Here is a 13,968-nt window from a genome sequence, read left to right on the forward strand (position 1 = left end):
TTACTGGAATGCAAGGGATGGAGCAGAGAACCCTGAGGCTGCACTGGGGATCTGTCTAATCTCACTGTGCTCAGTCTTCCTGTGTATTAAATGGGGAGCCTGCCTGCCTCCCCCAGGGTGGTTTCCCAGCCAAGTGGCCACATGCTTTCTGCAGAAGGGCTGATAAGTGGGCTGCCCCGTGGAGTAGGCAGGCTTTGGCTCCCAGCTAGATTTGAGGTGGAATTTTGGACAATGGAAGAATTTTCATTGTCTTCTTCCCCTGACCCCTGGTCCTAGGAAAGCCAGGCCACCCTGTGCTAACCCCCCTCCTATGGCTCCCTTTTAGGTTGAACCATGATTCCGGTGACAGAGCTCCGCTACTTTGCGGACACGCAGCCAGCATACCGGATCCTGAAGCCGTGGTGGGATGTGTTCACAGACTACATCTCTATCGTCATGCTGATGATTGCCGTCTTCGGGGGGACGCTGCAGGTCACCCAAGACAAGATGATCTGCCTGCCTTGTAAGTGGGTCACCAAGGACTCCTGCAATGATTCGTTCCGGGGCTGGGCAGCCCCTGGCCCGGAGCCCACCTACCCCAACTCCACCATTCTGCCGACCCCTGACACGGGCCCCACAGGCATCAAGTATGACCTGGACCGGCACCAGTACAACTACGTGGACGCTGTGTGCTATGAGAACCGACTGCACTGGTTTGCCAAGTACTTCCCCTACCTGGTGCTTCTGCACACGCTCATCTTCCTGGCCTGCAGCAACTTCTGGTTCAAATTCCCGCGCACCAGCTCGAAGCTGGAGCACTTTGTGTCTATCCTGCTGAAGTGCTTCGACTCGCCCTGGACCACGAGGGCCCTGTCGGAGACAGTGGTGGAGGAGAGCGACCCCAAGCCGGCCTTCAGCAAGATGAATGGGTCCATGGACAAAAAGTCATCGACCGTCAGTGAGGACGTGGAGGCCACCGTGCCCATGCTGCAGCGGACCAAGTCACGGATCGAGCAGGGTATCGTGGACCGCTCAGAGACGGGCGTGCTGGACAAGAAGGAGGGGGAGCAAGCCAAGGCGCTGTTTGAGAAGGTGAAGAAGTTCCGGACCCATGTGGAGGAGGGGGACATTGTGTACCGCCTCTACATGCGGCAGACCATCATCAAGGTGATCAAGTTCATCCTCATCATCTGCTACACCGTCTACTACGTGCACAACATCAAGTTCGACGTGGACTGCACCGTGGACATTGAGAGCCTGACGGGCTACCGCACCTACCGCTGTGCCCACCCCCTGGCCACACTCTTCAAGATCCTGGCGTCCTTCTACATCAGCCTAGTCATCTTCTACGGCCTCATCTGCATGTATACACTGTGGTGGATGCTACGGCGCTCCCTCAAGAAGTACTCGTTTGAGTCGATCCGTGAGGAGAGCAGCTACAGCGACATCCCCGACGTCAAGAACGACTTCGCCTTCATGCTGCACCTCATTGACCAATACGACCCGCTCTACTCCAAGCGCTTCGCCGTCTTCCTGTCGGAGGTGAGTGAGAACAAGCTGCGGCAGCTGAACCTCAACAACGAGTGGACGCTGGACAAGCTCCGGCAGCGGCTCACCAAGAACGCGCAGGACAAGCTGGAGCTGCACCTGTTCATGCTCAGTGGCATCCCTGACACTGTGTTTGACCTGGTGGAGCTGGAGGTCCTCAAGCTGGAGCTGATCCCCGACGTGACCATCCCGCCCAGCATTGCCCAGCTCACGGGCCTCAAGGAGCTGTGGCTCTACCACACAGCGGCCAAGATTGAAGCGCCCGCGCTGGCCTTCCTGCGTGAGAACCTGCGGGCGCTGCACATCAAGTTCACCGACATCAAGGAGATCCCGCTGTGGATCTATAGCCTGAAGACACTGGAGGAGCTGCACCTGACGGGCAACCTGAGCGCGGAGAACAACCGCTACATCGTCATCGACGGGCTGCGGGAGCTCAAACGCCTCAAGGTGCTGCGGCTCAAGAGCAACCTAAGCAAGCTGCCACAGGTGGTCACAGATGTGGGCGTGCACCTGCAGAAGCTGTCCATCAACAATGAGGGCACCAAGCTCATCGTCCTCAACAGCCTCAAGAAGATGGCGAACCTGACTGAGCTGGAGCTGATCCGCTGTGACCTGGAGCGCATCCCCCACTCCATCTTCAGCCTCCACAACCTGCAGGAGATTGACCTCAAGGACAACAACCTCAAGACCATCGAGGAGATCATCAGCTTCCAGCACCTGCACCGCCTCACCTGCCTTAAGCTGTGGTACAACCACATCGCCTACATCCCCATCCAGATCGGCAACCTCACCAACCTGGAGCGCCTCTACCTGAACCGCAACAAGATCGAGAAGATCCCCACCCAGCTCTTCTACTGCCGCAAGCTGCGCTACCTGGACCTCAGCCACAACAACCTGACCTTCCTCCCTGCCGACATCGGCCTCCTGCAGAACCTCCAGAACCTAGCCATCACGGCCAACCGGGTGAGTGGCCCGGCCACAGCTCTGCGTGTGGGCTGGCGGGTGGCCTGGCCAGGGCTTGTGGTGGGGCACTCGGCAGGCTCAGTGTCCTGGGACCGTCGATGCCCCTGAGTGTGGAGTCCTCACCTGGGGTTTACAGAACCATCCAGGATAGAAGCTCTGTTCAAGAGACAGACTCCTTGGGCCCCATCCCAGGCCTGCTGAATCCGAATCTCTGGGCCCCGGGCCTGTCTTTGCTCCAAAATGTTGCAGTTCTCCTGCCTGGAGAGACTGCATGGCCAGGCAAGGTCTGTCCCCCAAGGTGACCTTGAGCCGGGTTCCTCTTCAGCAGGGATGTGCTTGGGCAGGAGGTCCAAACCCGGGGGTTCTCTCGCAAAGCCGGGTGGTGGGAGTCAAGACTTAGCCTGGAGTTTGTGTCTTCCTCAGCTTGTTCCCAGTCGGACTTGGAGGCAAGGAGCCAATCCGGGTCCACCCAGGACAGAAACTGTGTGGGTGGCCAGTGCTGGCTGAGGGGAAGCCTTGGATGGTCTCTGCAGCTCCCACACACCTTTCTCCACTGCATTTGGTGGTGTCAGAGGCAGAGTTGGGCCTAGATGGGGCTAGTTTGTTTCTGCCTGCCCTTCTGAAAAGGAAATTGTGCAAATCATTGTCACTGGGAGTTTGGGAGGCCACACCTTCGACATACTTTCAAGACTGTTGGTGGTCTGTGGGTGCCAGTCTCTTACCTGGCTGGGGAAGCCCCCATCCAAGGGCCCCTTGGTGGAGGCAGGCAGTGTGGATGGAGGGCTGGGTACTCCTGTGGCTCTGTGGTCTGGCCTCCGAAATGGAAACAAAGCCACTGCCATTGTGGGGAACGTCCCTCTTCCACCCGTCCTGGGGACCTGCAGGTTTTCCTGGGCCTCACATCCAGGTGGAGATTCCTGTAGTGAGACATGTGGTGGAGGAAGCCTGAGGCCAGGCGCTGGGAGACAAGGGAGAGCCCAGCCAGCCACCCTTCTGCCCCCGACACAGCAGCAGCTGTCGTGCCGGGCCCCTGTGAACTTCACTAGGGATGCCACCAGGTTCAGGAGGCTGAAGAAGAGACTCGGAGTTGACCAGGCCCAGTGGGTCAAACCTGTAATCCGAGCACTTAGGGAAGCCAAGGTGGGGCGGTCACTTGAGCTCAGGAGTTCGAGACCAGCCTGGGCAACATAGGGAAACCCCATCTCTACCAAAAATACAGAAATGATCCAGGCATGGTGGCATGTGCCTGTAGTCCCAGCTATTTGGGAGGCTGAGGCAGGATCGCTTCAGCCTAGGAGTTCAAGACTGCAGTGAGCTATGGTTGTACCACTGTACTTCAGCCTGGGCAATAGAGTGAGACCCAGTCTCAAAGTAAAATGAAGAGCCCTGGAGCCGGCCATTGAAACATGGGGTTTATTTGGGGGAACTTACTTACAGGGTGGTCCAGCAGCAGTGAGCCAAATAGGAAAACCACTCCTGCTTATAAAAAGCGTGCAGCTCATAGAGCATTTTCACTAAGCACCCTCCCCTCTGCAGCCTCCGTGTGGCAACCCGCGTTTCTTAGTTCGGTTGTTGCTGTTGGGTGCATCTGCCATGCAGCAGCCCCACGGTGCAGTCCCTGTTGGTTTCGTGGGCACCTGCTCTGTGTTCGCCCTGTGCCAGGCATGATGCACCTGTCCTCCTTCCACCAACCTGCTGAGTCCTCCCAACAGGGTCTGTCTATAGCATCCTCAGGCACGGAGGGAGGTGGCCCCTGGAATGCCCGGTCTGTCTATAGTATCCTCAGGCACGGAGGGAGGTGGCCCCTGGAATGCCCTGTCTGTCCTCCTGGGCCCCAGGACAGGACACACCTTCTCCAGCATCACTCAGACTAGATGCTTCAGGCCCTCCAGATGCCTGCTGGCTTGGAAGCCTTCCTCCCCTCTTCCCCAGGGCTCCCTTACTGCAGAGCAACCTGCAACCCACATGTATCAGGGATTTTGACAAGTCCTTATCTCCGGCCACCCCATATTATGACTTGAGCACAGTGGGAGAGTGGACCAGGGCAGGGTTTTCTCTTGTAGTTTCGGGACAGGCCCACTGAATAGGAAAACTGGAGTCCCCTGGGGAGAAGCCACATTTGGGAAGCACAGAACAAACCCAGCCCTTCTTTAATCTGTGGAGGGGGAGACCCTGTGGCTTCCCCATAGCACAGTGCTGCCCTTGATAAGCTGGGACTTCCTCACAGCTCCTGCCATTCCTGCCCTGTCCCGGGTGCTGTGCTGGGGCTGTCCTCCTGGTTGGGGGAGGGTTCAAGCCTCCAGCCTGGCTCCCCATCCTGTCCCCCACCCCCAGCTCCTCCCGCCAAGCTTGCCTGTTAGTGTCATGCCTGCTGGCTGAGGTCACCCCTCAGGAAAGGAGCTGGCGGCAAGCACGCTGTCCCAGAGGAAGGAGACCCTCTGGACACCCTGTTTAGCACATGGCTTAATCACATCCTGTCCCCACCCCCTGGAACACCAGAGCCTTAATAGGGAAAACAGTTCACTTGGGCCAACCCCAGGCAGGCCCCTCATTCTGAGTGGGAGGCCTGAGCCCCTCTTCCTCCTCACTCGGGCTTGATGGCTCCTTCTCAGCCACCTTGGCCAGTGGTGACCAGGAGGGGTGGGCGTGGCCTGCCCACGCCCTTGCGTGCTGTTTCTCCAGATTTATACTCTTGCTAATGAAAGCCTTGACAAGACAGTATTCATTCGTTCACTCGTTTACTGATGTGTGCAAATTGTTATGTTTTGTTTGTTTGTTTTTTTGGTAGAGACAGGGTCTCACTGTGTTTTCTAGGCTGGTCTTTAAACTCCTGGCCTCAAAGCCTCCCACCTTGGCCGCCCAAAGTGCTGGTATTACAGGCATGAGCCACTTCGCCTGGCCTTTGTGCAGATGTTTTTTGAGCACTTCTAGAATCCAGCTATGGAGCAAGGCGCCGGGGACATGGGGATGAAGAAGGCCAAGTAACGAGGCAGTTAGCACAGTGCGTAGGCGCTCTGCTGGAGCACCAGGTCCCTGGGAACACAGAGGAACAGGCCCCTGAAGAACGAGGAGGAGGAAGCCAGGTGGAGGGGAAAGGGACAGTCCAGGAGGTTCTGGTGGGGAGGAGCAGTGAGATGGGCTGCCCAGGAATGTGGGCATCCTGGAGAGCAGAGGTGGGGCTATGGGGGGGGGTGTGGATGGCAGGGGGGTCCTGTCCTACACCTCAGTTTCAATTGTCTCTTCATTTGTTTAACAGCCGATCCCTTGCCAGCCCATAGGCTCTGATGACTAAGACCTAGCTCTTTTGTTCAAGCAAGTGTTTACCGAATTCCTAGTGATTGAGTGGGTGAAGGAATGAGCTGACTTGCAGCGTGAGGTTCCTCTTGCGGTAGTGTGTGGGGTGGGGTGAGTGAGAGGTGGGAGGTGGAAGAGAGCTGTTAAGAGACCACGATTAGCCATCAGGTGAGGCCACGGGGCCTGGCGTGGCCAAGGCAGGTAGGGATGGAGAGACATGGACGGATCTGGGAGACGCTGGAGGGGGAATTCAAAGGGACGGGAGTTGATGGTGGGGGTGGTCTGAGTGACTTGAGCTTTTTTTTGTGGATTGTTGAGACTGGAGGAAGCACAGGTTTTCAGAGGCCAAGGTGTGTCTCATGTCAGGTGTCTGGGGCTCTGGGATGTCCAAGGGACCATCTTGAATCCACCTGAAGCCCAAGGAGTCACCCTTTCCAGGCTCATGGGTGAAGATGGGTCCTTGACTTGCTCACTGTGGAGAGCAGAGAGGGAGAAGGACAGGAGTCTGCAGAAGAGGAGGGCGAGGCCAGAGCGTGGGGCACATGGGGCCTGGGGAGTTGGCTGGATTAGGAACTGGTGACTTTGGCCAGAGAGTTAAGGGTGGACAGGGTCATGGAGGCAGAGTGAGGAGAGAGACAGCGGCTTTCCTGCAGTTGGTCAGGAAGGCCAGAGAGCCAAGGACAACGCTGGGGCCCTGGAAGCCTCCTGAGAGAGTTGTCCTTTTCAAAGATCAGGTCGAGTTGAGGCCTTTCAGTGCCGATGGGGACCCACTGAAGTCTCTGGGGAGGTAGGAGAGGGTGCAATTGGGGGATTGGGAACCAACTTCAAGCCTCCAGGGCACGGGCCGGCGACAATCCGACAATCCAGCAGAGAAGGATCGGTCCAGAGGATGGGTGTGGCTGTGGTGGGAGCCGAGCAACTGAGAGTACCTCCCCTTTTCTCTCTGGGGCCTGGAGAGGGCTCCCTGGCTCAGAGCAGGGCATGTTCTGGGGAGGAGGCCTTTCAGGGAGGGGGCTCCAGAGCCAGGCTCCATATGGACCCGAGCTCTGCCACTCGCTGTCCAGAGCTTTCCCACTGTCCCTGACCACTGCATGTGTCAGCAGAGGAGATCACGGGGTGGGAGTGGGGTCTTTCTGGGAAGGCTCTGGCCCCTGGGTGCTCCAGAGCCCACTTCCTGTCTACCCTCTGACCTTCAGCCCCTGCTGACCTCAAAGCCAACCCCAAATGCATTCCTGATCCTTGGTCACAGTGGTGGCAGTGTAGGATACACAGGTTAGGAGCCTTTTTGAAAGCACCCCCTGTGCCTGGGCTGGGCATGGTGGCTCACGCCTGTAATCCCAACACTTTGGGAGGCCGAGGCGGGCAGATCACCTGAGGTCAGGAGTTCAAGACCAGCCTGGCCGACATAATGAAACCCCGTCTCTGCAAACAATACAAAAATTAGCCGGGCATGGTGGTATGCGGCTGTAATCCCAGCTACTCGGGAGGCTAAGGCAGGAGAATCACTTGAACCTGGGAGGTGGAGATTACAGTGAGCCAAGATTGCGCCACTGCACTCTCTGGGTGACAGAGTGAGACTCCGTCCCCCGCCCCCGCCCCCCAAAAAAAAAGAAAAAGCACTCTGCCGGGCCTTGGCCATGCTTATCTCCCTGCTGGGAAAGCCACGTTGCTCCCCAGGAACTCCTGGGCCCTTCTCTAAACGCGGCTGGAGAGAGCAGGTGCCCGTGAGGTTGAGGTCCGAGTCTGCAAAACGGTCCTCAGCCACAGAGTGTCCAAGCTCAGTTTCTAGTCCAACCTGTGCCTTTTACAAATGGGGAAACTGAGGCCCAGAGAGGGAGGGACTTCCAGAGTTACCCTGTAACTGAGTGCCATATTTGGCAGAAGGGAAATACAGCATGGGCTCTGAGTGGGAGGAAATAAGACGTACATCCTCTCCTGACCCTTTCGGAGAGGCTGCAACCTCAGACGAGTGGCGTGTCATCTCTCTGGGCCTCAGTCTCCTTGGCAGGAAAATGGGGGCGGTGATAGAGCAAGCTCAGAAGGGCTGCTGTGCCATCTCCCCATCATCCTCACTTGGGATCAAGGCCCAGGGCTCCTGGCTCCTGCCCTCCTGCCCATCCCATCTGAAGGAGGCAGCCTCGGGACGGGCAGGCTCAACTCATGGCCTTACTTACACGCAGTAAGAACTCATGGCCCCAGCTGATTCCTCGCAGCAGGGCAGGGAAGAAGCTGGCATACGTGAGGCTCTTCCTGTGTGCCAGGAGACAGCACGAACCCACTGCAGCCCCCTGTTTGCTCCTTGCTCCGCTAACAGTGTGGACGGTTCACCAGAGCATGGGCTGTTGAACCGGGTTCAAATCCTGGCTCCATCACTTACCAGCTGAACCTCTGGACAAGTCAGCGTCTTTGGGCCTCAGTTACCCCATCTGTAAAATTGGAAGAGTATTGACAGAATATTTATAGGTAGTTTGCTGGTTAAATAAATTAATAGTATCAGTGCTCACAGTGAGCCTGCCACACATTAAGCTGCATACGGGTGTCGTCTGTTAACAGTAATTGCTCCATATCCTCAGGGAATGTGGTCCAAGGTCCCCCGTGGATGCCTGGCACTGCAGGTAGTGCAGAACCCTATATGTTCTGTTCGTTGCTATTCACAGGTACCTATGATAAAGTTTAATTTATAAATTAAGCATAGTACACTTAGGCTTTGAGGCTATTATTATTTTTTTGAGATGGAGTCTCACTCTGTCACCCAGGCTGGAGTGCAGTGGCGCGATGTCGGCTCTGCAAGCTCCGCCTCCCGGGTTCACGCCATTCTCCTGCCTCAGCCTCCCGAGTAGCTGGGACTACAGGCGCCCGGCACCATGCCCGGCTAATTTTTTTGTATTTTTAGTAGAGACGGGGTTTCACCGTGTTAGCCAGGATAGTCTCGATCTCCTGACCTCGTGATCCGCCCGCCTCAGCCTCCCAAAGTGCTGGGATTACAGGCGTGAGCCACCGCACCCGGCCTAGGGGGTGGATTTTCTCAGCATGCTGTTTTGCTTTCATAAATTGTTGTTAAGCTGGGCAGAACCAACAGCCTGGCTCCTGGTGAGCCCTGGGATGGAGGTGGGAGCAGCTGGCCAATGCGATATACTTCCCAGGGCCAGGTGCTGGAAGATAGTGGGGATCGAGGCAGGCAGGTCTCATCCTTAGAGCCCACATCAAGGGGGTAACAGATGGAAGGATGAGCACTGCGAGTGGGGACATGGGGGCCATGAGACCCAGGAGATCAGGGAAGGCTTCCTGGAGGAAGTGAGCAAGAGCTGAGACCTGGTGCACAGGCAGATGTTGGCCAGAGTTTGGCCCAGATTGTGCTGATGCTGGGGGCCTGGGGATCAGAAAAGATGCTGAGATCTTGGGGAGAGAGGGAAGGGAAGCCCAGAGGCCCCGTCCAAGCCCACACCCACCTCACTCTCACCCCTGCTTTTTTCCCTCCAGATCGAGACGCTCCCTCCGGAGCTCTTCCAGTGCCGGAAGCTGCGGGCCCTGCACCTGGGCAACAACGTGCTGCAGTCACTGCCCTCCAGGGTGGGCGAGCTGACCAACCTGACGCAGATCGAGCTGCGGGGCAACCGGCTGGAGTGCCTGCCTGTGGAGCTGGGCGAGTGCCCACTGCTCAAGCGCAGCGGCTTGGTGGTGGAGGAGGACCTGTTCAACACACTGCCACCCGAGGTGAAGGAGCGGCTGTGGAGGGCTGACAAGGAGCAGGCCTGAGCGAGGCCGGCCCAGCACAGCAAGCAGCAGGACCGCTGCCCAGTCCTCAGGCCCGGAGGGGCAGGCCTAGCTTCTCCCAGAACTCCCGGACAGCCAGGACAGCCTCGTGGCTGGGCAGGAGCCTGGGGCCGCTTGTGAGTCAGGCCAGAGCGAGAGGACAGTATCTGTGGGGCTGGCCCCTTTTCTCCCTCTGAGACTCACGTCCCCCAGGGCAAGTGCTTGTGGAGGAGAGCAAGTCTCAAGAGCGCAGTATTTGGATAATCAGGGTCTCCTCCCTGGAGGCCAGCTCTGCCCCAGGGGCTGAGCTGCCACCAGAGGTCCTGGGACCCTCACTTTAGTTCTTGGTATTTATTTTTCTCCATCTCCCACCTCCTTCATCCAGATAACTTATACATTCCCAAGAAAGTTCAGCCCAGATGGAAGGTGTTCAGGGAAAGGTGGGCTGCCTTTTCCCCTTGTCCTTATTTAGCGATGCCGCCGGGCATTTAACACCCACCTGGACTTCAGCAGAGTGGTCCGGGGCGAACCAGCCATGGGACGGTCACCCAGCAGTGCCGGGCTGGGCTCTGCGGTGCGGTCCACGGGAGAGCAGGCCTCCAGCTGGAAAGGCCAGGCCTGGAGCTTGCCTCTTCAGTATTTGTGGCAGTTTTAGTTTTTTGTTTTTTTTTTTTTAATCAAAAAACAATTTTTTTAAAAAAAAAGCTTTGAAAATGGATGGTTTGGGTATTAAAAAGAAAAAAAAAACTTAAAAAAAAAAAGACACTAACGGCCAGTGAGTTGGAGTCTCAGGGCAGGGTGGCAGTTTCCCTTGAGCAAAGCAGCCAGACGTTGAACTGTGTTTCCTTTCCCTGGGCGCAGGGTGCAGGGTGTCTTCCGGATCTGGTGTGACCTTGGTCCAGGAGTTCTATTTGTTCCTGGGGAGGGAGGTTTTTTTGTTTGTTTTTTGGGTTTTTTTGGTGTCTTGTTTTCTTTCTCCTCCATGTGTCTTGGCAGGCACTCATTTCTGTGGCTGTCGGCCAGAGGGAATGTTCTGGAGCTGCCAAGGAGGGAGGAGACTCGGGTTGGCTAATCCCCGGATGAACGGTGCTCCATTCGCACCTCCCCTCCTCGTGCCTGCCCTGCCTCTCCACGCACAGTGTTAAGGAGCCAAGAGGAGCCACTTCGCCCAGACTTTGTTTCCCCACCGCCTGCGGCATGGGTGTGTCCAGTGCCACCGCTGGCCTCCGCTGCTTCCATCAGCCCTGTCACCACCTGGTCCTTCATGAAGAGCAGACACTTAGAGGCTGGTCGGGAATGGGGAGGTCGCCCCTGGGAGGGCAGGCGTTGGTTCCAAGCCGGTTCCCGTCCCTGGCGCCTGGAGTGCACACAGCCCAGTCGGCACCTGGTGGCTGGAAGCCACCCTGCTTTAGATCACTCGGGTCCCCACCTTAGAAGGGTCCCCGCCTTAGATCAATCACGTGGACACTAAGGCACGTTTTAGAGTCTCTTGTCTTAATGATTATGTCCATCCGTCTGTCCGTCCATTTGTGTTTTCTGCGTCGTGTCATTGGATATAATCCTCAGAAATAATGCACACTAGCCTCTGACAACCATGAAGCAAAAATCCGTTACATGTGGGTCTGAACTTGTAGACTCGGTCACAGTATCAAATAAAATCTATAACAGAAAGTGGCCTTTGGAGGTCTTTGTGTCATGGGAGGACGCTTCCCTCACTTCTCTGAAGCCTGCCGGGCCGTGTGGAACGTTGCTTGGGCACCTACAGGAGAGTTAACTCTGCTCATCTCCTGCCCCATGAGACTCTGTGCCTTTGGAGGCAGTTACTGGAGCTTGTAAGCTGGACGCAGCACCTGCTAGGTAACAGGCTGTGACCTGGGCTGGGGATCCCATAGCCAGCACAATCTCTGTCATCCTACTCACCTGTGGTTGGGCACTCATGAGGGGGTTTTTTTGTTGTTGTTGTTTTTTTGACAGGGTCTCATTCTGTCACCTAGAGTGCACTGCTGGAATATAGTGGCGTGATCACGGCTCACTGCAGCCTTGACCTCTCCAGGCTCAGGTGATCTCACCTCGGCCTCCCAAGTAGCTAGGACCACAGGGGCATGCTGGCTAATTTTTTTTTTTTTTTTTTTTTTTTGAGACAGAGTCTTACTCTGTCACCCAGGCTGGAATGCAGTGGCTCGATCTCGGCTCACTGCAACCTCCGCCTCCCAGGTTCAAGTGATTCTCTTGCCTCAGCCTCACGAGTAGCTGGGACTACAGGTGCCTGCCACCATGCCCAGCTAATTTTTGTATTTTTAGTAGAGACAGGGTTTCACCATGTTGGCCAGGCTGGTCTTGATCTCCTGACCTTCTGATCCACCTACCTCAGCCTCCCAAAATGCTGGGATTACAGACATGAGCTACTGCGCCCAGCCGTGCTGGCTAATTTTTGTATTTTTTGTAGGGACGGGGTTTTGCCATGTTGCCCAGGTTGGTCTCGAATCCCTGAGCTCAAGAGATCCACCCACCTCAGCCTCCTAAAGTGCTGGGATTATAGGCGTGAGCCACCGTGCTTGGCCCCTCATGAGTTTTGATGGGTGGGGATGGGAGAGGAGGGCACTGGAATGGGAACCAGTAGTCCTGGGCCTTTGTCCCAGCTTCATGGGACAGGATGTGCATGAAGCTAGGCAGATCCCTTCTCCAGTGGCCTCTGTATCCCCATGTGGACAATGGGAATTTCCACTCTGTGCTCTCAAAGGTCCCTTGCAATTCCAACAGTGAGTCCCAAGTGGTCTACAGAGGTGGGGCTGAGAGTCATCGTGGGGAAGCCTGCCTCAGCTCCCAGCCCCTTTGGGGGCCTTTGGGAGGTAGTGTGGTAAAGGGCAGAGGCTGAGACAGCTGCTTCCAGATGCCAGTTCTGCCGTGTTTGATGTGGGGCTTCAGTGTTCTCATTTGTAAAATCAGGAAGGTAATGGCACACTTGCAGGACTGTTCAAGGAACAATGGCGATTATGTAGGTAGATGGGGTTTTTGGTGGAGGACCTGGCTGCTAGTACCCAATAAATGGCCTTGTATCTTCCACCCAGACCAAGGATCCTTGTGGTGGGCCAACGTGGGCGCCCTGCGGCAGGAGACTGGGTGAGGAAGAAAGGCCATCATATCTGACTTTGACCTTAGTGATGAGGCCTGGGTGGCTGCTTGGGCACCTCCTCTACAACTGGACAGAGTCTATCCCTCCTCCCTCCACGGGGACTCTGACCCCTCCAGGTGAACTCAGGCCTGAGCCAAGATTCCCTCCCTCTTCTCCCCCTGCCATGGGCTGACAGGCTGAGCAGCTGGACTGTGACTGCCGGGCTGGGGCCTTCTTTTCTGTTTCCGTGGTGGAGGTCCCTCCCCCAGTTTGGTACCCTTCCCACCACCCCCCGACCCCACTCCCGCCCCCACCCTGGCCTTGAGGCTGTCCAGCGCCTGGAGCAGGAGAGTTCGATCTGGAGCTGGTTTACATTTGGAAAAAACCACCATGTAGAAACACCGCCCACCCACTTCCCAAAGTTGAGCAGAATGAACAGTTAGTGGGAGGCTGGGCCTCTCCCCTCCCCCTCCCCCACCCACCCAGGGCTCTCCACTCTGCCTAAAACCACTGTGGTGGTCTTCTCTCTGATTGTAACAGCAATTTTGGAAGCTCAAAAAAATTGTTTAAATTATATTCCACCCAGCTGGGCGCGGTGGCTCACGCCTGTAATCCCAGCACTTTGGGAGGCCGAGGCAGGCAGATCACAAGGTCAGGAGATTGAGACCATCCTGGCTAACGCGGTGAAACCCCATCTCTACTAAAAAATATAAAAAATTAGCCAGGCGTGGTGGCAGGCGCCTGTAGGCCCAGCTACTGGGGAGGCTGAGGCAGGAGAATGGCGTGAACCCGGGAGGCGGAGCTTGCAGTGAGCTGAGATTGCGCCACTGCACTCCAGCCTGGGTGACAGAGCGAGACTCCATCTCAAAAAAAATAAATAAAATAAAAAATAAATAAATAAATAATATTCCACTCAGAACAGCCCCTGCTAACATTTGGTGAACAACTTGTTCACCAGTTGGTAGGCACTTACTCAGCGCCAGGCCTGGTGCCAAGCTCTTTATCAGCTGCGAAGCATTCATCTTATTTACTGCTCACAGGGGATCCTACTGCTAGCCCCAAATTACAGACTGGGAAAGTAAGGCCTGAACATCTGGGACGCAAACACAGTCTGCTTCACTGAGTCTCTACTACAAGCCTTCTGTGGGGGCTCCCAGGGGAATGGCTGGCCCAGTCCGAGGGGACCTCAGTGTTCTTGGCACATGGTAGGCATCTGTCTTTGTTGGGCAGTTGCATCAGAAGGGTTAAGGACAGCTGGGAACACATCCTGCCTCTAGTGAACCTCGTGGTTCTGTCATCTGCCTGCCCCTCACCCAGCC

At 56.3% G+C, this 13,968-nt stretch overlaps 1 protein-coding gene and 1 long non-coding RNA gene across 20 annotated transcripts in view, besides 1 other annotated feature; one reads left to right on the forward strand and one right to left on the reverse strand.

The window, feature by feature from the left end:
• Positions 1–11,208, forward strand: part of LRRC8A (leucine rich repeat containing 8 VRAC subunit A) — a 35,907-nt gene extending 24,699 nt beyond the window's left edge. For all 15 annotated transcript variants that reach the window (XM_047423596.1, XM_047423597.1, XM_011518864.3 and 12 more), the window contains 2 exons: positions 326–2,490; positions 9,265–11,208. In XM_047423596.1, the coding sequence (XP_047279552.1) occupies positions 334–2,490; positions 9,265–9,540 (2,433 nt within the window). In that variant the 5' untranslated portion in view covers positions 326–333 and the 3' untranslated portion in view covers positions 9,541–11,208. The remainder of the gene's footprint in view (positions 1–325; positions 2,491–9,264) is intronic.
• On the reverse strand, positions 2,484–9,314 carry LOC101929291 (uncharacterized). 5 transcript variants are annotated; one of them, XR_001746953.1, is made up of 4 exons: positions 9,245–9,314; positions 8,162–8,210; positions 3,213–3,407; positions 2,484–3,109 (listed from the first exon to the last, which is right to left on the reverse strand). It is a non-coding gene; the product is annotated as an uncharacterized LOC101929291 (long non-coding RNA). The 5 variants fall into 5 exon arrangements; XR_007061808.1 differs by having other exon boundaries at positions 9,234–9,314; XR_007061806.1 differs by having other exon boundaries at positions 3,213–8,210.
• Positions 2,911–3,694: an enhancer, noted in NCBI's record as "H3K27ac-H3K4me1 hESC enhancer chr9:131672021-131672804 (GRCh37/hg19 assembly coordinates)". NCBI's record gives its function as "activates a minimal SCP1, AML or CMV promoter by ChIP-STARR-seq in primed H9 embryonic stem cells {active_cell/tissue: H9 hESC(primed)}" and the evidence as "EXISTENCE:reporter gene assay evidence [ECO:0000049][PMID:30033119]".

Source organism: Homo sapiens, chromosome 9, assembly GCF_000001405.40.
Source record: "Homo sapiens chromosome 9, GRCh38.p14 Primary Assembly".
Classification (NCBI taxonomy): Eukaryota; Metazoa; Chordata; class Mammalia; order Primates; family Hominidae; genus Homo; species Homo sapiens.